Raw genomic sequence first — 24941 nt, 5'->3', positions numbered from 1 at the left:
AGGAATCATTTAAAAAAATTCAAAAGCAAACAATTTCGATTTTACAAGAGCTAAGAAAAAAACATTTTGCTATGGACACAGATCGCTCTTCAAGAAAAGATTTCTTTCCCCCTTGGCTGCTAGGAGCAATATTACAAAGCAGCCTTCAGCTCTCAGCTCCTTCAAAGTTTGCCTCAGCTGTAACCATTGTCTGGCTCAATGTTAGGGCATCCTGGAGCACTGGACATGCAAACACGAATGGAGATGAGGTTATAAAGCCTGGCCATTTTGACCCACCTGAGAGGATTCTGACAGGTCCTTCCAGTGCCTGAGAAACCCAGGGCTCACATGCTTTATATTCTGATCATTCTGTAGGGGTTGTTCCCATGGGTGATAGAAGCTGCCAAATATAAAGAGGCAACCATGCAAATTTTTAGGAATTATTTCCAAAACTCTCATAACAACATCATATATATTTATTGGTTGTTTAAGTAGATTTCTGAGGAGTAGATAGCAACGATAGAAGTGAAAGAAAGTAAATGCAGTTGTTAAAGGATTAGTCTTCCCATACTTAGAAAGTACACAAGTTGCATATACACTATGTTCCTTCCCTAGAGCAAGTATTTCAATGCAGTCATGTGTGTGTGTTTGTGTGCTTGTGTGTGTGTGGTGTGTGTGTGTGTGTGTGTGTATGCTAACTGAACTCATTATAGATTTTATTGGATCAGATATATGAAGAGACTTGGAAGACTTGGGTTTGTCTGGAACTGGGTGAAATAGAGAAGGACGATCATTGACATAGAAAGCTGATTACTTTGTCCTTTGAGTATAAATAGTCTTACAATAAAATGGCATCTCCACTGTCTAAAACACATTTTTACATTTGCTCTCCTTCTGAAATTATTTATGTGAAATTAACAAATGTACTTATTACCTTAGAAACAAACGATCCGTAATTTATATTATTTATTGTATATTTGTAGATCCACTTAAAATTGATTTGCAATATAAGGAAAAAATGCGTTTTATAAGTTGTTTGCTTTGTGTAGTGCATCTTGTTAACCGTAGGACTACTGTTGCATTGAAACAAAATAGAATTAATCTGTTCAGGTAAATAGAACTGGAAGTGAGATTTGTTGTCACTCCTTCTCCTTCAAGTACTGACCAGTCTTTTAATTCACACATAACTAACACTCTGTGCAATAATATTTTTTTGTTCTCTGTCTTTTCAAACAGAACTCAAGCTCCATGAGGAGATGTTTCATTGTCGGTGAGCACATTCTTGTCAATTAGTTCCTTCTTGTTTCTTACTATAGCCCCTGTGTCTAGAACCTTTCCAGGTATTCAGTAGCCATTTAAAAATTATTTGTTGAATGAATTGTTATTTTAAAGAACATCCACAATTTTGCCTGACTGGGCATGGGAATACATGCCCATCTTTGGACTGAATGTCCATTTTTCCCTTCTTTGATTTATCAAAATATTGGTTAAATGATCAGGACTACCGTCAGAAGGAATTTTATATCTAAAAATAGTTTACCTTCTATGGATGTAAAAAATAGTTGTAGTAGTTCTGGCTTTTATATTATTCGATGTTTCAAAGCGGTTTTTTTTTTCCATCACCATATTCTACGTTCTTGAAAAGTACTCGTTCATGTGACTGCTATCATTTATGCTTGTGCAGCACGTAGATACAGGAGAGAAGATAAGGAAAATGCTTACCCTGTGTCTCCTTCCCTGTAACACAGTTTTTTTTACCATATTGATTCTCCACTTTCTACTCCCTAAGTAAAATTTTGCAACAGGCATTTGGGAAACTCTGGATACAAGAAAAAAATTTTAATATTGTACAAAGAGACAAGAGGTGACTTCTTTTTTATTTTTCATTTAGAGTTTATAGTTTAATTAAAGAAAATGCACATATATCTAAAGATAATCATGGATAATACACTCATGTAATTACTACTTTCAGTGGTTGTAACAACAGCCAAAGCACAAACAGAAATGAGAAAGAATTATCAGCATTATGCAAGTACATATCCTCTTTAAGAATTCCTGTTATAGTGAAAGCATTAAAATAATTGAACACGTACAGAGACCATATACTTTGTGATCTTTTTAAAAAAGTATTCAAAATATATTTCTGTGTGCAAAACATTTTCATAATGGTCTTGTTTAAATGAAAGTATTTAGAATAGCACATTGTAAAATTATGCTGCAGAGCACAAGTATTTTTCTCTTTAGAAGACACATAATAAAATAGAATCATCAGTGTTTTTTCATAAACATGAATCTTTAGAGTGTTACTTGATCCTGCATAATAAGGGTACTTTTTTGCTTAATGTAAGCATAGTATACTAATTCTTTTAAACTTCAGAAAGCATATTTACAGTCTAGGCAGATGGGACATGAAGGTCACACAGCATGAGCGGTGAAATATCTCATTTACCTAGAGTTCTAGAGAGAATTTTAGGAACTCTTATTTATTATCAGTGCATAAACAAGAGTAAACTCTACAAAACTGTTTGCAAAACTCTCCTCTTTCTACTCAGAAGGCTTTCCCTAGAATAATCATTATGGAGTCTGTCCATCCTTTACTCATTCACTGCATGGGGACAGGTGTTAGTTATGAGATTGGTGAATTTAGAAAGCTAACCAATTTCATACCTATTTTGGGATTCTCAATTCACAAACTTTTGTGCGTTTCTTAATTATTTCCTTTCTTTTTCTTGTAGAGAGCAGTCATGATGGCCTGCACTCCACACAATGCAACAGAGTGAAAGAGCAGGTTCTGCTTCTTTGGTGTAGTCCTGAAGCTTCCTAAGAAACTTCACATCAGGTGATGGATAGGAGCAACCCTGTAAAACCAGCCTTAGACTATTTTTCAAACAGTAAGTAATAAAGGTGACGTTTTGATCTTTATCTGCTTAATTACTTCTGCTATGATTCTATTGATTCTAACATTGAAGGAGCAGTAAATTTATATGTATTATCCAACTATAAAACAATAAATAAACGATATGTCAAATACATTATCACATCCTTATGTTCTTATGATAATATTGTCCTTTTTTTAACAGTTTTTATTCTTATTTGTTGATTGGTTTGTCTTTATGTTGTCCTTTCTACTATCAAACTGAACATGTTGAGGTCATAGGCTATCAAAACTGTACATTTCTGATGCTAACCATAGAGACTTAACAACAGTAAATAGGCCAAAATGGAATGTTGTTAGCCATAGTGTGTATTATTATTTCTTTTATACATGTGGTCACTGTTAGAGGAGTTTATGACTTTTTGCCTAGATTAATGACACACAAACCATCTACAAACGAATCATACCTTATTCCCTCACTGTAATTTTTAATGTTGCTATTTTTGCCTGTTAACATTCCATAGGTTTATCACATTGCTTAAAGATTTAATTTAATTTCTGTAATTGTATATGTCATGAGAGATTGCTTTTAACCTTCCAATGTTCGTGGTCTCATTTTCACTAACATAATCCCAACTTTAGCTGCGCACAATACCACATTTCCCAGCATTCCTTGCATCTGGATATAGCTGTATTCAAATAAGCCGTGTGAAACTTCTGGGATGGCTCCTTAAGTGCAGTTGACTCATTAGGGAGGTATGTCTTTTTTATTTTTCTACACTTTGTGCTGCTGTCCTGGAGTACAGACATGGTGGCTAGAAGCATGAAATCACCTTGAAGGTAGAAGTCATGCATTGAAGTTAGTAAAAGTGAAATGTAAGTGTATAGTTTCCTGATGAAAATGGGAAGCTTATGTACTAGCAACAGAATGCTTATTATGCAGGCTTCCTATATGTAAAAGAGGACAAATTCTCATTTTATTAAGTTTCTGAAAGTAGATTTCTAAATGCTGGTTCTATTTTTTATTGAAAGTAATGGCAAAAAACGCAATGCCTTTTGTACCAACCTAATAGTTAATAAACATATCCTCAAATGAAATGTCTTAGAATTGTGTTCATCAAGTTAATATTAATAATTTATTAGAATAGCACTCTAAAGGGTTGCAGCCTATGCATGAAAATACTTACAAACTACTACATGATAATCAATTCTTTTTGGCAAGACTGCTATTTACATGGACACAAGAGTTATTATAAGAATGTTGTATGTATACATGAATAGTGTCTGTTAAACACTGGATATAATAAAAACAATAGTTTTTCTGTTAATTATAACAATCTGAACATTTTTGTGATTATATTTCACAAATGACACACCATTTTATTTGCAGATTTTTCTTATCCCCAAAGTTTTTGTTAATTTATTACCAACACAGCACACAAGTCTAGTGGCAATGCATTACCTCTGCAGTTGATTTTGAAGTAAGAAGGCCTATTTATTGCATTCATTCCTGCTTAGATGACATCTTAAATTTGTTAATTGGATTATTATGCTCTATTCTATACATTTATTGATTTATAGATTTTGTGGACACAAATTTCAAAACATATTCGAAAATTTGGTGATAGCTTTTTAGAATCTATTCTTCAACATAGTTATTGAAAGTGAACAAGAAGGACCTCCTCTAGAGATTAGGTTGAGAACCACTTCTTTGATTTGTTAAATATGTGTACATGGATACCATGTGGCTTTATTATGAGGAGCCACTTAAGTGGCTGAGTTACAATTCACAAAACATTGTCACAGGGAAAATATCAGGACAAATTTTCAAGTCGCATGCCAAGAAAAGAAACTTTCTGAATGCTTATAAGAAATACCTTAATTAATGGGAGCCCTTCAAAGTACACAAAACATCATAACTAGGAGTTGCAACACAACCAGCAATTTGCTGATTGAAATGCATTCATTCATACTGACTTCACCTGCTGAATGGAATATTGTGCTGTACTGTCCTTAGCTATGGAGAGAGAATTAAGGAATATCCCCTTCTGGTGTTCAACAACAACGAAAGAGCAAGAAAGATATATTCCTAATTTTTAAAGAAGAATGTAGAGATACTTAAACAAGACAATGAAGGTGGTAGAAAGATTATTACCATCCCCAAAGTGTTTGCTCATTAAAACATTTTGTGATTTTCTCTGCCAATATCATACCTGTATGGATAATTGTTTTCCTATCCACACAGTTATGAGAGTGAGAAGATGGAATATAAAAGATGGAACAAGAGGGAATCTGTGTGGTGACCACAGTAATCACAGGCTGGTTGGGATCCTAAACTCGGCCACAGCACAAAAGCATGTTCAAGTTTAAAGTCATGAGAGAGGCCTGGCATAGTGGCTCACACCTATAATCCCTGCACTTTGGGAGGCCAAGGTGGGAGGATTGCTTGGGGCAAAGAGCTCAAGATCAGCCTGGGCAACATAGTGAGATCCCATCTAAAAAAATGTTCTTTAAGTTAGCCTTATGTGGTGGCATGTTCCTGTGGTATCAGCTACTCAGGTGGCTGAAGTGGGAGGGTCACTTGAGCCTGGAGGTTGAGCCATAATCATGCCACTGCACTCCAGCCTTGGTGACAGATTAAGACTCTGTCTCCAAAAGTAAAACACCAAACAACACAAAAAGTAAAGTCACAATAAAATGAGATGCTATTAAGGTTGTTTTAGGTTGATTTTCAACTAGACCAGCATTTAGCCTGTACAAAGGCATATACAAAATAAACCCTAAACCTAAATGGGATTCAGCAGCAGCAGTGTGGGTTAAAGAAGCCACCAGTTCCCTGGAGGCCAGAACCACAGGCCTGTGGCCTTTTTTATTGTTTTGACAGGGAGGTGGAAAGCAGGAGTATAACTACATTCAAGTGTCTGCTCTGTTGCTGTAGGAGAAAATCCGTGCTGTAGCACATCAAAGTTTTTCCAAATTTTATTTCTTAGGACATCTTTGGGGTTTATGTAAGTATTAAATAGAGCTCCCCTAGCCCAGGCTTACACAGGACATATGTCTAGTGTCATAGGTCTGTATGCTTAAATTATAGCAGAAAGTTTGCTAAAATTTAAGTGAAGTAATGTTGAAGGTTGAATCATTTGAAACAAACTACCTGCACCAAAATATTCTTTAGTGTACTGATTTCTATCCCACCCCTAATGAGGCTGAATTTTAATCTTAACTCTGCTTGTAATTAGGTATTTATATGTGTCTGTTATTCATTTTTTAACAAGATGTCTCTTCAGAGATAAAATGAGGGTAGCAAAAAATAATTTTAATAGCCATTTATATGGCTTTGATAACAATTGTCTGTTCTACTTATCTGACTGATTCTAAACTCTAAAGGTTATTTTACAGTTAGTAAATTACATAATTTTTATGCAACAATTTGCCTGCCAGGATTCCTATAATACTTGTCAGCTATCAGTAGGTATAAGCCTGTTAGCCTCTAATGTGAAGATAATATCTCTTTAAGTTATAACGCATTTACAATTGTTACAGTTTCTAAGGTCTTTTTGAAGTTAGAGATGCATCTGAGGATGATGGTTTTCAAGGAGATAGCTCTTTGACAAAAAATGACAATATGGGACTTAGTGTTATATTAATTTACACATTATGTTTTTGCTATAAAGATAAAAGGTGTGCTATACTACCTATCAATTACTGTATGCCACATTTTGTAGAATTGTTTTCCATATTATTGTAGAATGTGGCACTTAAATAGTATCATGAAAAAAGTTTATTCAAGAAATAAGACATTAATGAAATATAATTAATATATAAAGACTATATTTAAAAATAATTATGTATTTCTAATCCTAAACTTTTTAAGGTGACATTATTTTTTTCTGTGATATAATTTCAGTTGAGAAGAACTTTAAATTTTAATAAGATTTTAAGATGATTCAGTAATGTTAACATACTTTTCTTCTGTAAATTTTGTTAACAATTTAGCTGCATTAATTAAATATTTATGTAGCTAATTTTAATAGTGATATTTTAATACAATTCTTAATTTTACTCCTGGCTTTCAATCATTCATATATGTTTTTAAAAATTGCTTTTTCCATTGCTTTACTTCTTAATTACTTTTATCAAAGTCTTAATTGTGTGTGGTTGATTTTAAAAGTTAAATATTTCTATAAGATTTATAAAGACAAACTGGGTACAGTGACTCACACCTGTAATCCCAGCACTTTGGGAGGCCGAGGGGGTAGATCACTTGAGGTCAGGAGTTCGAGACCAGCCTGGCCAACATGGTGAAAGCAGTTTCTACTAAAAATACAAAGATATGCCTGGTGTGGTGGTTGGCCCCTGTAATTCCAGCCACTTGGGAGGCTGAGGCAGGAGAATTGCTTGAACCTTGGAAGCGGAGGTTGCAGTGAGCTGAAACCATGCCATTGCACTCCAGCCTGGGCAGCAAGAGCGAAACTCCATCACAAAAAAAAAAAAAAAAAAAAAAAAAAAATATATATATATATATATATATATATATATATATATATATATTATATATTATATATATGTATGTATGTATATATAAATGTATATGTGTGTGTATATATATAGATACACACTATATATATATATATATATATATATATATATATACACACACACACAATAGAAATGTCCTGGCTATATCTATATTAATAGGTTTTGCACATTTAAACCAAAGTCACACATATGGTTTGATTCTAATTAATTCTAATGCATCTTGCAGGTTTCAAACTGTATTCTATTATGTAATTATCTGCTGATCCACTCTGTATCCTGTTGTGTAAGTTGCGATGATTAACCTCTGCCTTTACGATGTAATCCAAATGTAGCATATAGACCTCAATGATAAGATTGATCATGGTGCATTTAATCATTAATTTATTATTAATCTCTTTTATCCTGGTACTTAGAGTGCAGATTTTTCTCAACAACTATTTACGCAATCATTAAATGAAATATAGCCTTGTGTCACTTAGCAATGAGGATATGTTCTGAGAAGTGTGTGGCTAGGTGATTATCTTACTGTGCAAACTTCATAGAGTGATCAATCTATAATGGTGATAGCAATTTTTCAACCCTATTATAATCTTAATGAGCCATTGTTTTACATGCTGTCTCTTATTGATGTAAACGTTGTTATGTGGCACATGATTATGTAAAAGATATTAATCCATTCATTATTTATGCATTCATCCATTTGACCTATGGTAGTGTTCTATTGAAAATGAGTCATCGTGATACAGAAATCCACTGTTAGTTGTTTTTACTTTCTCTTGTTCGTGGGGAAGAGTGGGTATTGATTTTAAAAGTCTAAAGAATGGGGTATTGTGAATAGTGCCGCAATAAACATACGTGTGCATGTGTCTTTATAGCAGCATGATTTATAATCCTTTGGGTATATACCCAGTAATGGGATGGCTGGGTCAAATGGTATTTCTAGTTCTAGATCCCTGAGGAATCGCCACACTGACTTCGACAATGGTTGAACTAGTTTACAGTCCCACCAACAGTATAAAAGTGTTCCTATTTCTCCACATCCTCTCCAGCACCTGTTGTTTCCTGACTTTTTAATGATTGCCATTCTAACTGGTGTGAGATGGTATCTCATCGTGGTTTTGATTTGCATTTCTCTGATGGCCAGTGATGGTGAGCATTTTTTCATGTGTTTTTTGGCTGCATAAATGTCTTCTTTTGCGAAGTGTCTGTTCATGTCCTTCGCCCACTTTTTGATGGGGTTGTTTGTTTTTTTCTTGTAAATTTGTTTGAGTTCATTGTAGATTCTGGATATTAGCCCTTTGTCAGATGAGTAGGTTGCGAAAATTTTCTCCCATTCTGTAGGTTGCCTGTTCACTGTGATGGTAGTTTCTTTTGCTGTGCAGAAGCTCTTTAGTTTAATTAGATCCCATTTGTCAATTTTGGCTTTTGTTGCCATTGCTTTTGGTGTTTTAGACATGAAGTCCTTGCCCACGCCTGTGTCCTGAATGGTAATGCCTAGGTTTTCTTCTAGGGTTTTTATGGTTTTAGGTCTAACGTTTAAGTCTTTAATCCATCTTGAATTAATTTTTGTATAAGGTGTAAGGAAGGGATCCAGTTTCAGCTTTCTCCATATGGCTAGCCAGTTTTCCCAGCACCATTTATTAAATAGGGAATCCTTTCCCCATTGCTTATTTTTCTCAGGTTTGTCAAAGATGAGATAGTTGTAGATATGCGGCGTTATTTCTGAGGGCTCTGTTCTGTCCCATTGATCTATATCTCTGTTTTGGTACCAGTACCGTGCTGTTTTTGTTACTGTAGCCTTGTAGTATAGTTTGAAGTCAGGTAGCGTGATGCCTCCAGCTTTGTTCTTTTGGCTTAGGATTGACTTGGCAACGCGGGCTCTTTTTTGGTTCCATACGAACTTTAAAGTAGTTATTTCCAATTCTGTGAAGAAAGTCATTGGTAGCTTGATGGGGATGGCATTGGATCTATAAATTACCTTGGGCAGCAAAGACTTGGAACCAATCCAGATGTCCAACAGTGATAGACTGGATTAAGAAAATGTGGCACATATACACCATGCAATACTATGCAGCCATAAAAAATGATGAGTTCATGTCCTTTGTAGGGACATGGATGAAATTGGAAATCGTCATTCTCAGTACTATCGCAAGGACAAAAAACCAAACACCGGATGTTCTCACTCATAGGTGGGAATTGAACAATGAGAACACATGGACACAGGAAGGGGAACATCACACTCTGGGGACTGTTATGGGGTGGGGGGAGGGGGGAGGGATAGCACTCGGAGATATACCTAATGCTAGATGACGAGTTAGTGGGTGCAGCACACCAGCATGGCACATGTATACATATGTAACTAACCTGCACATTGTGCACATGTACCCTAAAACTTAAAAGTATATAAAAAAAAAAAGGGGGGGTATACACACAATCAGGTGTCAAGCAGTGGCACCTCGTGCAAAATAATAAACTCATCTAAGATCCTAGCAGTTCATTCTGAAAATAAAGCTGGAAATATATCTTGGATATGTAAAATGTGAGTGTAAAAATTAATGAAACTAAGCAATGGGAATATGAGTAGTAAATTATTTGAGAAAATATTATAACATTTACTTTTTTAAATTTCAAAACTATATTTCCTTATTTAAAACTGAAAATTTTTGTGTACATATAGGAAACTAATTGTGTCATTTTTCTTTTTGTTACAATATAGAGTGATGTTTCAAAACACAAACATAATAGGTAGAGTCAATTACTTAGGGGAGTCTAAACCTGGAGGTAACATTAGAAATAGAAATAATAAAATGCAGTGTTTTTGGATTTGTCTGTTAAGATTATTTTAATCCAGATCATATTTAATGGTTTACATAGTTGTATATCAAATTTGGTTTCAGAAATAAATTATACAGTAAATTTAAAAATGCAAAAAATGTATATTGTTATACATTCTGTAACCTATGAATCCATATAACTTGGGCAAGAAAATTATATAATTAAAAATAAAACCTTTCTGTTCTCAATTATGTTTTAGGGACAGCTATATAGTTCACACTCACAAAGGAATCATAAAAACTCTATGTATAATCTTGGAAGTAAAAATATCTGTTGTATCATATTTATGAAGTATACAATTGATTAAAAATGATAATGTCTGTCTTCTATCCAACGGCAATAACAGAAGATAATGGCATATAAGTAGGCCTGTCTCCTTTTTTTTGGCATTGATTTATATATCTTTACTAGCTTTGTTGTTTTAACTCCAATAAAAGATTATTTAGTAAGCCAAAGCAAAAAAAAAAAAAAAATCCTGTGAGCAGCCACAAACTGAAAGACTACGATTTTTAGTCAATGTCCTAAGCAACACAGTAATTTTAGGTTAACCAATGTGTCAAAGAGAATGAGGAAAAATTATTACAAAAATGAATAAATAAACTGGTCTAGGTCAAACCGTACTCCTTCTAAAGAGAGTAGTCAACTGATATTAAAGCCTGTGACGTAGTATGTGCCATATTGAGTATGCAATATCTAAATATTTCTTTTTTTTCTTTCTCCAGCTACTGCAAACCCTAATTGTTTCCTTATCCGATCACTTTAAAGTCATTCAGCAAATCATAATTATGCCATTGTTAACATCAGAAACTGAAAACCTACTGTCAAAAGTGAGCTAAAATATCATATTTGGATTTATTTATAAATTTATTTTATAAAAAGATTGACTTTCAATTTGAGAATAACATAAAAAATCAATTCATTCCTCTGTGCATCAATATTGTATCATTGGTAGTTTAAACTTTTCATCTAATATTAGATTGCATGCAGGATTTTATATCTAATTACTCTGGCAGATGGCCTTTAGAAAGTTCAAAAATAAAATGCAGCAATTCATATTGGCAGATTTACTATTGAGACCAATGCTTTCTTAACTAAAAGGTTTTGTTTAAAATCGTTAGTTTAGGAAATCTGATAAAGATTTTTGAATATCAGAGCGTTTAAAAGAGATTCTTACTTTACATCTGGCATATTTCTTGTGTTACATATTATAATTTCATTGAACATGGCTGTCTGTAAAACTATGTATATGATCCGGAAGAGACTCAAATTAAATTAAGTTTTAACAGCCATCAATTCATTTTAAAATGACACAGGCATGAAAAATGATCTATCAAGATTTGTAAATCTTATTCTGTTAGCTATTGCTAGAGATAGTCTAAAGGTATTCTACTTGGAATTTGAGATCAAGACAAAGATTTTCTGTTAGTAATAATATTCAGATTATTTTTATTTTAATGTATAAATTTAAAATTCTTAGAATATTTTCAACAATATTTTCCATTTCTAAATTTATTTTATTTCTAAACAAATGTAATTACTTTATTTATTAACTTTTATTTTCAGTTCAGGGGTATATGTGCAGGTTTGTTATATAGGTAAACCTATAGGTAAATAGGTATACAGATTATTTTGTCACCCAGGCATTAAGCCTATGCGCGTTAGTGAAAAATGTTATTGCTTTAAATATCCAAATTATTCAGCTGCATTTGATCTCATTCTTTAGTCCAATGTAAGTAAGAGTAAAACAATGACATTTAAGGCCACCAGGCTATTCTCATTTTTGGAAAAATGCTGGATTACATTACCAGCATATTAAATGAGAATATCAAGGTGTAATATCTCCCTAGAAATTGTCTCACCTTCAATACTATTGACATTTTTGGACCTGATAATTTTGTTGTGGGCTCTAGCCTCATATTATAGGAGGTTTACCAGTTTTCCTGCCCTAAACTTACCGGATGTGAATAGCACACTCCACTACCTACAGCAGTAAAAACTAAAATTGTCTCTAAACATTGACAAATTGTCCCTGGTAGTGAAAATCACCCCTGGTTGAGACCGTGTTGTTGAAAATAAAACAAAAACTTTCACATCAATAAATATGTTAGGCTGTGTATGTTAAGGATTAACATTAAGACAATATGGAGCAAGCACTACATGAAAGCAGTGACGATTGGGAATTAGTGGCACATTATCCTAATAGTTAATATAGTGACTGTAATATCTAAATATCATCCTATAGAGTTTTTCTTAGATTTTTTCATTAGTATAACAGGATGTTGTGTATGTTACACTGTATATACTGTTATTTTGAGAGACAATTTTGGGAGATTTTGCCAAGGTATTTTCAATTATAGGTCTTTAATACATTCTAAGCAAGTGGGTCTCAAAAATGGGAATTTTACACCCCACATTCTTCTTCCCATCCGGTGGACATTTGTCAATGTGCGCAGATATTTCTGATTAAAAAAAAAAAAAAACTGTGAAAGAGAGGGTGTGCTACTGGCATCTGGTGGTCGAGGCTAGGGATGTTGCTAATCATCTTACAATGTACACGATAGTTCCCCACAATGACTTTGAGAAACCCTGCTCTGACACTACTGCAGGATGAATTTTAAGCACAATTATAAGAGAGGACCTAGATATTGAGTTTTAAAAGGAGAAAATATAAGTACAAAAGAAGAATGAAGATTGTTACAACAGGGGCAAGTAGAAGTTAGAAGAAAATGTGATAAAGTAAATCTACATTTTAGAATAGTACTGGAAGTTATTATCAGGTGTTACAGACAAGTTTGAGACTTCCGTAAGTGACCTAAAGAAATTATGGACACTGCAAGACTAAATAATCATTCATTTAGGAAGGAGCTTAAATGCACTTTCTCAAGGCCGGGCGAGGTGGCTCACGCCTGTAATCCCAGCACTTTGGGAGGCCAAGGTGGGCAGATCACGAGGTCAGGTGATCGAGACCATCGTGGGTAACACGGTGAAACCCCGTCTCTACTAAAAAATACAAAAAAAAATTAGCCGGGCACGGTGGCGGGCGCCTTAGTCCCATCTACTCGGGAGGCTGAGGCAGGAGAATGGCGTGAACCCGGGAGGCGGAGTTTGCAGTAAGCCGAGATCCCGCCACTGCACTCCAGCCAGGGTGACTGAGTGAGACTCTGTCTCAAAAAAAAAAAAAACTTTCTCAAGCATGCTAAGTCACAAAATTTGAGTTATCCTGAGCTTTTTTTACTTTAAGCTATCAAGCCATTGTTTGGAATCTTCAGAACCTCTTTAGAGTTTGGGATTTAAGAGTCAGTAGGTAGATAGTGAGCTTAAGATGCCAAACACAACATATAAAGCTATAAAAATCCATATGATCTTGAAAGATTAAATGGAAGCCCAGCACAAAACAATTGCTGAGTATATTATTTACATTATCTGAAAGTATGCCAGACAGACACTTTATATGTTAATAAAGATATGAGAAAGAAAATTCCAAAGAGTTTCTAAAAAGTGAACAACCACAAAATTTCAATAGCTTGCAACAAACATTTTCTTCTCACTCATGTTACCTGATGGAAAATCAAATGGCTGCCTGGAGACAGCATGGAGGGAGAGACTGATTACTGAGGTGCACAAGAAAACTTTTCATAATGATGGTTGTGAATGTAGTGATATTTCCAAAAGTATATACATATATATATATATCTATCTCAAATTTGACCACATCACACATTTCAAGTATACTGAATTGACTGTGCATCTCTTATTATACCCCAGGAAAGTTGAAGATATGACAATGAAAAAAAAATTCTTCCACCGACTACCCATCAATTTTCTTCTCATTAGCCTCACAGATTTCACAGTTAATTAAAGGGAAGATGCAAATATGTTCAAACTGTACATATTCTGAGGCCCATACCTTGCCATTAGCTCAATAAAGAGAGACATTGTCCCTGGCATGAAAATGAAAAACTTGCACACTCCCTAGGTGGCTTCTGGACACTCTTAAGACATGAACACACTTTGGGGGCTCACCCTGTCAGGCTTTGCTCTCCGAGCTTAGATGAGAAAAACACAAAAATAAAACCAAAAGGTGACATTTAGGTGCCCATCAAGAAAGATGTGTTGGGAACTGGACAGGTCAGGGCTTTAAGTACTGTATCTTACTGTATGTTTAAGTACTGTATGTTACTGTGGAAACTTACCCATTTTCCCCTCAGAACAACTCTGTCTCAGGAGGTGAGTCTGAGAGCTACTGTTTCTTTGTAAAGGTTTTATCTGATCAGGCCCACGGTCACCACGTCAGCCCCACTGCCCCTAAATAGTTTGAATCTTGATGTTTTGATTTCAAGGACTTCTGATTCTAGCTACATAGCTTTGTCCATTTCCCACCTTACCACTATTTACTTTGAATTTTGTTGCATGCCGAGACCAGTGACTGCCACAAATGTGACTGTTCCTAGAATCTGCTTTCTGCTCTGATCTTTAGTCAGTGCGCAGACTCTAACATAAACTCCTTTCTATCGTATTTTCTTGAGTCCAAGAGCCCATAGATTGTATAATGCACTATTTTATGTCCCGTTAAGCAAGTAATTCGCATTGTGGCTAATTAAACTAAGACATACCACTGAATTGTAAAATGCATTATATTTTCAGGAGATATTAAAATATGAAATGTATAGGTCTTGGAATAGATGAATTGTGACAGTATCTTTGGAAAGCTAATTCAGTTGCAGTATTGCTTAAGATGTCTTTAAGAGCTGACTTCCTTTAGTTGGAATACATATGTAAATTATTTGCAGAGGAGATTTACCTCTTTTATCTCATTCATTTGTTTATTCAGTCATTTATTGATATCAATATGGACTAAGGAAAATTACATTTTTGGGTATAATCCAAATATACTACCAATTAATGTATTGTGTTGCTAAAATTATTCTAGAAATTGAAAGACCTTTCACCTGGCCCCTGTGCTTGTTTGACATATCTCACAAATAGATTTTTGTTAGTATTTTCATAATTTCTGGCACTAGAGGATGTCCCAGGCTCATCTTGTGTATTTTCTTCCCCATTCTTAGAATCAGCCACTTTCAAAGACGCCCTGCTTTCTATATATGAAATCAATATTTAAGTGCTAGCTGTGCCTGTAGCTAAGGGAGTATCAATTTTTTCATAGCTCTCTAAGATGAGAGAGCAAAGAAACAATGTGTATATTCTTACACATATGTAGACACATATCTTTAAATATTTCTATATGTAAACATCTATATTAGTCCATTATCCCATTGTTATAAAGAACTACCTGATCCTAGGTAATTTATAAAGAAAAGAGCTTTAATTGCCTCACAGTTGCACAGGCTGTACAGGAAGCAAGGATGGGGAAGCCTCAGAAAACGTACAGTCATAGCAGAAGGCAAAGAGGAAGCAGGCACATCTTACATGGCTGGAGAAGGAGGAAGAGAACTAAGGGGGAGATGCTACACACTTTTAAACAACCAGATTGTGTGAGAACTAAGTCATTATCACAAGAACAGCAAGGAGGAAATCTGCCCCCATAATCCAGTCCCCTCCCACTAGACCCCTCCTTCAACACTGGCGATTACAATTGGACGAGAGGTTTGAGAGGGGACAAAATGTAAACCATATCACCATCTATGTCTGTATTAAGCTAAACATGGGTTCTTACTGATGTCACTACCTCTAACCTAGTCCCGCAAGCATCAATGCCTTCCTGTATCTCTAAACCCCCACTCCAACAATAAAAATCCTGACTCTTACTTTGTGACATCTATTTAGTTAATTGTTCACTTCCAGTATATGTATATAGCTGTACCAGAATTGATAACCTGCCCTTAGTAGAAGAACATCTTTATCAACTAAATTAAGTGCCTTCGTACAAGTTTCTTTTGCCTTTCATCTTAAGAGACTGCACTCATTTTCAATATCACTTTGACTAGCACCCTTTCCCTTAAGTCCCTCACTGAAGTTATTTTGTATGGTTCATAATAGAGCTAGATAAATTTGTAACAGTCTGCATTCCATCCTGAGATTCTACAACCTTTTAATTAATTTTTAATTAAAAATATAACTTTTATTTTGGTAAATATTAGCACTTCTGTGCCACACTACTATATATAAATATCAAAAAAAGGTCCAGAAAGCTATAGAAAATTTGAGTAAAGTGCTGAATGTTGAACCTAACAATAACTGGGCTAAAGTAAGTACAGAAGGCAATTTTTTATTTATGTAAATTTATGGGATACAAATATAATCTTATTACCTCCATAAAGTACATAGTGTTGAAGTAAGGGTTTTAGAATATACATCACCTGAAAAATGTACATTGTGCTCATTACATAATTTCTCATCATCCCCTCCTCCCACCCTCCTGAAATTTCCAAGTCTCTGTTGTCTATCATTCCACATTCTATGTCCATGTGTATACATTATTTAGCGTCCAGTTATAAGTGAGAACATGCAGTATTTGTCTTTCTGTGTCTGATTTGTTTCACTTAAAATAATGACCAGTTACATCCATGTTGTTACAAAAGACATGATTTTATTCTTTTGTATAGCTGAATAGTATTCTATAGCGCATATGTGCCAGATTTATTAATGTAATCATCCACTGAGGGACACATTGCTATTGTGAATAGTGCTGTGATAAACATATGGGTGCAGATACCTTTTTCATACAATTATCTGTTCTCCTTTGGGTAGATCTCCAGTAGTGGGATTGTTGGGTGAAATTGCGGTTTTATTAAGAATGTATATTCTGTAGTTGCTGGGTAGTATTTTCTGTAAATGTCAGTTAGGTCTATTTCATCTAAGGTTGAATTTAAGTCTTAGGTTTATTTGTTTTCTGTCTTGATGATAACATTTAATGCTGTGAGTGAGATGGTAAAGTCCCCCAGTATTATCGTATTGCTGTCTATTCCTTTTTTATGTCTAGTAATATTTATTTGATGAATCTTGGTGGTCTAGTGTTGGATGCATATGTGTTTAGAATTGTTATATCCTCTTGCTGAATTGATCCCTTTATCATTATGTAATGACTTCCTTTGTCATTGTTATACTGTTTTAGATTTAAGTTCTGTTTTACTTGATATAAGTATAGCTATTCCTGCTTGCTTTTAGTCTCCGTTACATGGAGTATCTTTTTTCACCCATTTACTTTAAATCTGTATGTGTCTTTACTTTTCAGTCTGTATGTGTCTATATGTTTCTTGTAAGCATAATATTTTTGGATCATTTTTTAGTTCGTTCCATCAATCTACCTTTCTTTTTTTTTTTTTTACTTTTAGATGGAGTTTCACTCTGTCATCCAGAGTGGAGTGCAGTGGCGCAATCTTGGCTCACTGCAAACTCCGTCTTGCAGGTTCAAGCGATTCTCCTGCTTCAGCCTCCCAAGTAGATGGGATTACAGGTGCCGGCCACCACGCCTGGCTAATTTTTGTATTTTTAATGGAGATAGGGTTTCACTATGTTGGCCAGCCTGGCCTCGAACTCCTGACCTCGTGATCCACCCACCTCGGCCTCCCAAAGTGCTGGGATTACAGGTGTGAGCAACTGCACCTGGCCCAATATCTATCAATCTATATATTTTAAGTGGAATGTTTAATTCATTTACATTCAAGGTTAATGTTAATACATGAGGTTTTCTTTCTGCCATATTGCTGTTTGTTTTCTACTTGTTTTATAAGTTCTTTGGGGTTATTTTGTTGTTGTTTTTTGTTTTTCTTTCTGTGTGTCTCTTTGTCTTTGTGGTTTGGTGGAAATCTGTTGTGTTGCTATTTGATTGCTCGTCCTACTTTGTGTGACTGTTTTACAAGACCTATGAGTTTGCTACTTTCATGTGTTTTGATGATGATGATGAATGTTGACCTTTCATTTTTGTGTTTGGGACACCTTTGAGTATTTCTCATAGGACTCGTTTGGTGGTGACGAATTCCCTCAGTGTGTGCTTGTCTGGAAAATACTTTGAATCATTTCAAGAAAATTAACAGTGAGTTATGTCAATCAAGCCATTGGTTTGTATTTGGTGGCACATTTACTCTGTATTATTTCACACTAGAACCATCTGAGTTAAGTTTTATTATTTGCTATATGTTGCAGATGAAGAAACTGAAGCTGAGAGAGGTTTAGTGAATGACTAAAAAGGTTGTCAGGCTGCAGGGAAAAAAACAAAACAAAACTGTACGACTAGCCTGCAATGCTTCCCAAAGTATGTAGCTTATTATTATTGGTCACTTTTTGAGTACAAAATGCTGTGCTATGTAACAGAATAATACAATGTACATATACATATCAATTAACATAAGCATAACTGTAATCACATATACTGATAAATAAAAATATAAAGTAATATATGGTAATGACCCAACCATTTGCCTAAGTTTCATGTATTACAGAAGTTTTGAGGAGGGACTTCAGCTGTATGCAAATCAGCAATTCGGGTTGTACAGTTGATTACCCATTAGTTCAGAATTTTAATAATTTAAAATATATTTATTAAGAACCTAACAATTGGAAGACCTTACAATAGGTGGGAAAATTCGACAGATGAATAATGCTTAGGAGATATCAGCATGTTTTGGAAGGATATTCCCATGAAGAGAAAAAGTATCGTGGGAAGTGTGGGAAGTGTTATGGTGCGAGAGTAATACAGGTTCCAGCATGTGTTTACATTATTTTGTTGGAGGTGTTGGGGAACCTTTCATGGAAGGTGTGTGGTAGACTGTTGGACAGGTTTCCTCAACTTTCGTTCCACTCTTTGAAGAGGTTAGAAAACTAAAACAAAACAAAACAAGCAATGCAGCTTCCCTTGAGCTAGCTTTATGAATGCAGCTTAGACCACTTACCGATTGTTTGCATATGAATCAGACTTAGAAAAATGGAAGAGATCAAAGCCTGTCTTGCTATTGTTGATTCTGGCAAGTGAAATCATGGGGACAATAGTTCAGAAGTAGTGGAAGTGGTAGGATTCAATATCCTTGTGCCTAATCCCCAGTTTCATGGGCATAAGAGGCTTAAAGTTTTAATAGCAGGAGCATCTTTTTGACCCAGGATTGCAGAAATGATTGCGTGCCTTTGAATTCAAGAACTCAAAACCTTCCTCCATGCCACAGCTACTTTAGTTATTTTAGCCCTTCCTATTGTATATGTATGAAATGCACTTTCTGCTTAAGATACCTATTGCGGTTTTTATTTCCTTATTAAAACCTTGGAAAAATATAGCACTTAAATTATGTTTTGTAGAAATTCACTAAGCAAATAAAGCTAAAGGGGGAGAGAGTTAACCTTCTCTGCCCCCTTTTTATCAGAAGTTAGTTGTAGAAGAAATACACAATTTTTGCGCAATTTTAGCACCATCTAAGTTCTGTAGGTCTGGAACACAGACTGGTTAAATGAGCATTTCAGGAGCACTATAGTTGCAAAGTTAAGCAGTCACCACAATTTTATGTGTCATACAAAGATTTTTAACTTTATGTTTAAGCAACGAGCCTAGAAGCAAATGGTATTTCCATCAAGAATCGTCTCATATAAAGTAGAGCGTTTTGGAAAATGAAGTTATTAATAGATAAAAACATGTTTATGCAGTTGGTTTCTAAGTATGACAAACCTATTTCTTGGTAAATTGCAAGTCCATTCCACCTGTGTTTGTAGGCTCATTTGCCTAAAAGTCTTGGGATTTTTTCTGATGATCTATTAAATTTTCTTTCTGATTATCTTTTCTAATGCTGTAATAGCATTTCTAACACTGTAATGAAAGAGAACAAAAGTACACGCTTGCTCATCATTTACTAATTCTAAAAATATATATTGAATACATCTATGTAGCAGGTACTGTGGTAGGTGTGGAAGATAGTTGAGACAGGTAACAAGCCCAACATTACGGAGCTTAGCATCACCACCTAGAAGAGTTTTTAAAAAACATAGATAAGTGAATAATGATTATAAAGACAAAGAGATTCTTGCCATATAATTACATATAAGCAAATTTAGGATGTGATGAAAGATTTTGATATTGGTCTTCTGATTTGGCTGTAGGATGAAGTGTTTATAAGTCATCCCAAGGAAGAAACAATTCAGATGAGAACTATTCAATGGATTTGCAATAACAATCCAAAGATGGAAGAAGACACTTCTAGGTAGACAAAATTGCAAGTATAGAGAATGTAAATTAAGAGAGAGCTTAGCTTTCAGATGAATTAAAAGATTGTGGTGATCAGAATGTAGAGATTGACGAGAGACAAATGAAATAAAACTAGAAGGACAAGTAGAGATTTGTGGGTCAAGTTTTAAAATTTTATTATAAATGCACTGATACTGTTCTGAACATTTTCTTACACATGGAAATTTAATGATTATGGCTATTGAAAAATGTAACTCTTCATTTATATTTTTCCGAGAATGAAATCGGTGGAATTGCTGGGGGGTGAAAATGTCCAATGCGAAACAGGAGGCTAATTTAAGAAGGGATACTGCAAAATTGGTCATGATGGCTCAAACTGCTGTTCATAATAGAGAGAAGAAAATGGATAGAGTTACATATGGATGAGAGTAAATTGACAAGGCTAAATGCTAAAACGTGGGTAGTGACAGAAAGTAGGTGTCAAAATAGACTTCCAGGAAAAGAAAAAATGGGTCTACAAAAGAGCCAAATGCTGATGTGGGTTACATGATCCTGAGCAGATGCAGATGTAATTGGTTAAGTAAAGTAAGTTCTTAAGATAGATTTGGCCTGGCGCTATACATTCTAGAGCCCCTGAATATAAGTGGGATATAAAACCATGGGAATGACTGTATTTGTCTAAGGAGAGAATTTGGCAGAAGAAAAGGAGACATAAGATGAAATGCAGAGGAAATTCAAATTTAATTGGCAGGTGTAGGAAGACAAGGAGATGACAAAAGGAACTGGAAATGAGTAATCAGAGACAGAAAAGTAAAAGTAAGAGTAGAATGTCATGGAAGGCAAATAATTGGAATGTTTCAAGAACAGGGAAATGGGCAATAAAGAGAAGAAAAAAATAGTGACCAGAGGGTATAGTAATGTGTAGAAATTCATCCTGTGTTAGGTTTGATTGCTTAGACGTTTTATATAAAAATCTTTCCCAGAGAGTAATAAAACAGAAGTGAGGTTAGAGAAAGAACATACGATTTAGCCAAAAGGTGGGAAAAGTTAGGAAATGAAGAATAAATATGTTTAAAGATAATGTTATGGCTACTCAATGTACAACCTCTTTTCTTTCATTATTTTTAATTGTCATATTTAAAAATAGTAATTACCACTTTTAAAAATTGTCTTATTATTTGTTACATAAGAAAATGCATTAATTCAAGCCACATAGTATCATTTATATTATGACTGTCGAAACATTACTAGAATTACTAGAACTATTAACCTAATGGCCTGAAAATTTCAACTCACTTCCCTAGCTGTCCTGATGATCATTAGTGAAAGGAAAGACTCCATTAAATAATGCTTACTTATAGAGAACTGGTTATATCTGTCTCATTTCCATACATATATCTGTATAAATTAATTTGATTAATAAAACAAACACAAGGCACAAACAACAAAACACAGTTTATAAATGTCATTGAAAAATGCATGCCTGTACAATTTGGGTATTTGTAATTGTAAATTGATATACTTCATTTTTTATCCAGGAGTTACTTAGATTGAAACTTTACCTAATGTATGATAAAATAATACGTGATTAAATTTAAAAACATGATGAATTTATTTAAAATTGGCTTCAATAATGTCAGAAAGTAATAAAATAAAATGATTCCTTCAAAGACTGCACCTGTTTATTGCCTGAGATTATCTCTCTTGGCCACAAATCAATATTACTTTCTTTCATTCATCAGTGATAAAGCTTTTCAATAATTCTAATTTTAAAGGATGATTACAGCAAGTATATAGTCATTGATTGCTTAAAGGTTGCAGCTAAAATGAACACAATGGTCATTTTATTTTTAATAAATGAGCCCTTTTGAAAAGTCAAGCATTTTTCCTCTCACAAAACTTTGTGTAATAAGATTATAGATTTGATCATGTATGAGTTTGCACTGTGTGTGTGTATATATGTGTGTGTGATTTCAGCGATAAAGTTCACTGTTCCACAGCTGGCAATTTCTTCTGCTTAATTGAAAATTCCGTTTTAAAATATTTCTTTAAAGTTCTAAAATGGGTTTAAATGGGTTCATGAGCTGTAATACTATTAAAAATATATATATATCTACATATTTGTTGATTCTTCTCAGTTTAAGAAGTGGAGCTTCATACTCCTCCCCTTGAAGGCAGGCTAAGCTGAGTGACTCCCATCTAAGAAATAAAACACCGCAGGATTGGAATGTTACCTTGTGAGACAAGGTCACAAAGGCTAGGGTTTTAATTTTGAGTGAACTAATTTGCTCCTTACTGGTGTTTCTCTCTCTTTCTCTCCTTCAACTCTTTACGAGCCCAGCCACCATGCAAATAATTCCAAACTATCTTTTCTAGAAAGCTCACATGAAGAACCGAGGCATCCTATCTGATATCCAGCCAAATGATTAAACATTCTAGAAGCAGACTATGATGCACTGAATTTGTGAAATCCTAACCCCCAGTGTAATGATAGTAGGAGGTGGAGCTTTTGGTAGATGATAGTCTGTCTTCATGTTGGGGATTAGTGCCTTGATTATTATTTTTTGTTTTTATTTTTATTTTTATTTATTTATTTATTTATTTTTGAGACAGAGTTTTGCTCTGTTACCCAGGCTGGAGTGCAGTGGTGCCATGTCAGCTCACTGCAACGTCTGCCTCCTGGGTTCAAGTGTTTCTTCTGCCTCAGCCTCCTGAGTAGCTGAGTAGCTGAGACTACAGGTACGCACCACCACACCTGGCTAATTTTTGTATTTTTAGTAGAGACGGGGTTTCACCATACTGGCCAGGCTGGTCTGGAACTCCTGACCTCGTGATCTGCCTGCCTCAGCCTCCCAAAGTACTGGGATTACAGATGTGAGCCACCGTGCCCAGCCGGGGATTAGTGCCCTTATAAAAGAGACCCCAAAAAGCGTCCTTGCCCCTTCTGCCATGTGAGCTAGAGGACAGTAATCTATGAACTAAAAAATGGGCTCTGACCAGACACCAAATCTGCAAGCACCTTGATTTTGCACCATCCAGCCTCCGGTACCATTACAAACGTTTCTGTTGTTTATAAGCTACCCTGTCTATGGTATTCTGTAGCGACAGTGCAAACAAACTAAGACACGGACCTTCCAACACAAGTTAAAGGCTTCAGGGGATGCTGCCTGGGTCAACAACATGACAGCAACCTTTACTCATGAGAGACTTTGAGTCAGAACCACCTACCCAAATCCATCATTTCCCTGACTTCTATGAATTGTGTCATACATATTTGTTATTTTAAGCCATTAAGTTTTAGGGTAATTTTTAAATGGAAAAATACATGATCATAGGTAAACTATAATTAATAGAAAAATCTAATGCCAATAATATTTACCATTGATTGACCGTCAAAACTCCATTAATTATTTGCTTTCCATTTATATTTATTTTTGGATTTCTTTTTTAAGAGAATGGCACCTGTGACAGCATACTGTTAATATTACCCTTTTATCGTACTTTACCATGCCATCTCTGAAGAATATTACAGACCATTTTGGAGCATGGTGAATAAGAAATTTTCACCTTAGGAGTTCACTTGAATAGTCATTTTTATATTTGTGACTGCAAATCACTCTTAGGGGCTGTACTTCCTTAGTACTGGTAGCATTATTATCCAATGGACTTTTATAGCTTTCATTAGGTTTTCTTTTGTTTTTGTTCTTTAAAGAACGTTTTACTTATCTTAGTATTTCATTTTTCATCTATATTATGAGGCAGTAAGAGTCTTCTGTTTTTCCAAAGTTGAGACTGCTTTATATTTATTTCGTATTGTCTACAGCTGTAGTGTTCAATACATTAGCCACTAGCCACATGTGGTTATTTAAATAAGATAAAATAAAAATTGGCCGGGCGTGGTGGCTCACGCCGGTAATCCCAGCACTTTGGGAGGCCGAGGCGGGCAGATCATTAGGTCAGGAGATCGAGACCATCCTTACTAAGACGGTGAACCCCCATCTCTATTAAAAATACAAAAAATTAGCCGGGCGTGGTGGCGGGCGCCTGCAGTCCCAGCTACTCAGGAGGCTGAGGCAGGAGAATGGCGTGAACCTGGGAGGCAGAGTTTGCAGTGAGCCGAGATGGCGCCACTGCACTCCATCCTGGGGGACAGAGCGAGACTCCATCTCAAAAAAAAAAAGAAAATTAAAAATTAAGTTCTTTAGTTGCACTAGCCATATTTCAAATACTTGATGGATACATGTGGCTAGTGGCTAACATAAGGGATAGCACAGATATAAAACATTTGCTCGTCATATAAAGTTCTATTGGATAGTGCTGGTCTGTAGCTTATAGGATGGTATCTTAGTCTGCTTCAGCTGCTAAAACAGAATACCATAAATTAGGTAGCTTAAACAGTAGATATTTTGACCAGGCGTGGTGGCTTATGCCTGTATTCCTAACACTTTGGGAGGCCGAGGCAGGTGGATAACTTGAGCTCAGGAGTTTGAGACTAGCCTGGGCAGCATGGCAAAACCTTGTCTCTACGAAAATTAGCTGGGCGTGGTGGTGCACGCCTGTAGTCTGAGCTACTTGGGAGGCTGAGGTGGG

The 24941-nt window shown here is 35.1% G+C and overlaps 1 pseudogene across 1 annotated transcript in view, besides 1 other annotated feature; it reads left to right on the top strand.

Moving 5' to 3' along the window:
* GUSBP3 (GUSB pseudogene 3) overlaps positions 1-24941 on the top strand; it is a 71065-nt pseudogene that overhangs the window by 28513 nt on the left and 17611 nt on the right. Inside the window, exons 2-3 of the transcript NR_027386.2 lie at positions 1216-1249; positions 2715-2870. The product of NR_027386.2 is annotated as a GUSB pseudogene 3 (transcript). The remainder of the gene's footprint in view (positions 1-1215; positions 1250-2714; positions 2871-24941) is intronic.
* Positions 18986-19539: an enhancer, noted in NCBI's record as "OCT4-NANOG-H3K27ac-H3K4me1 hESC enhancer chr5:68958303-68958856 (GRCh37/hg19 assembly coordinates)". NCBI's record gives its function as "activates a minimal SCP1, AML or CMV promoter by ChIP-STARR-seq in primed H9 embryonic stem cells {active_cell/tissue: H9 hESC(primed)}" and the evidence as "EXISTENCE:reporter gene assay evidence [ECO:0000049][PMID:30033119]".

The sequence above is a fragment of the Homo sapiens genome, chromosome 5 (assembly GCF_000001405.40).
Source record: "Homo sapiens chromosome 5, GRCh38.p14 Primary Assembly".
In the NCBI taxonomy this organism is placed as follows: domain Eukaryota; kingdom Metazoa; phylum Chordata; class Mammalia; order Primates; family Hominidae; genus Homo; species Homo sapiens.
Note: the sequence above shows the minus strand (reverse complement) of the source record. Positions and strands in the feature narration are given on the sequence as shown.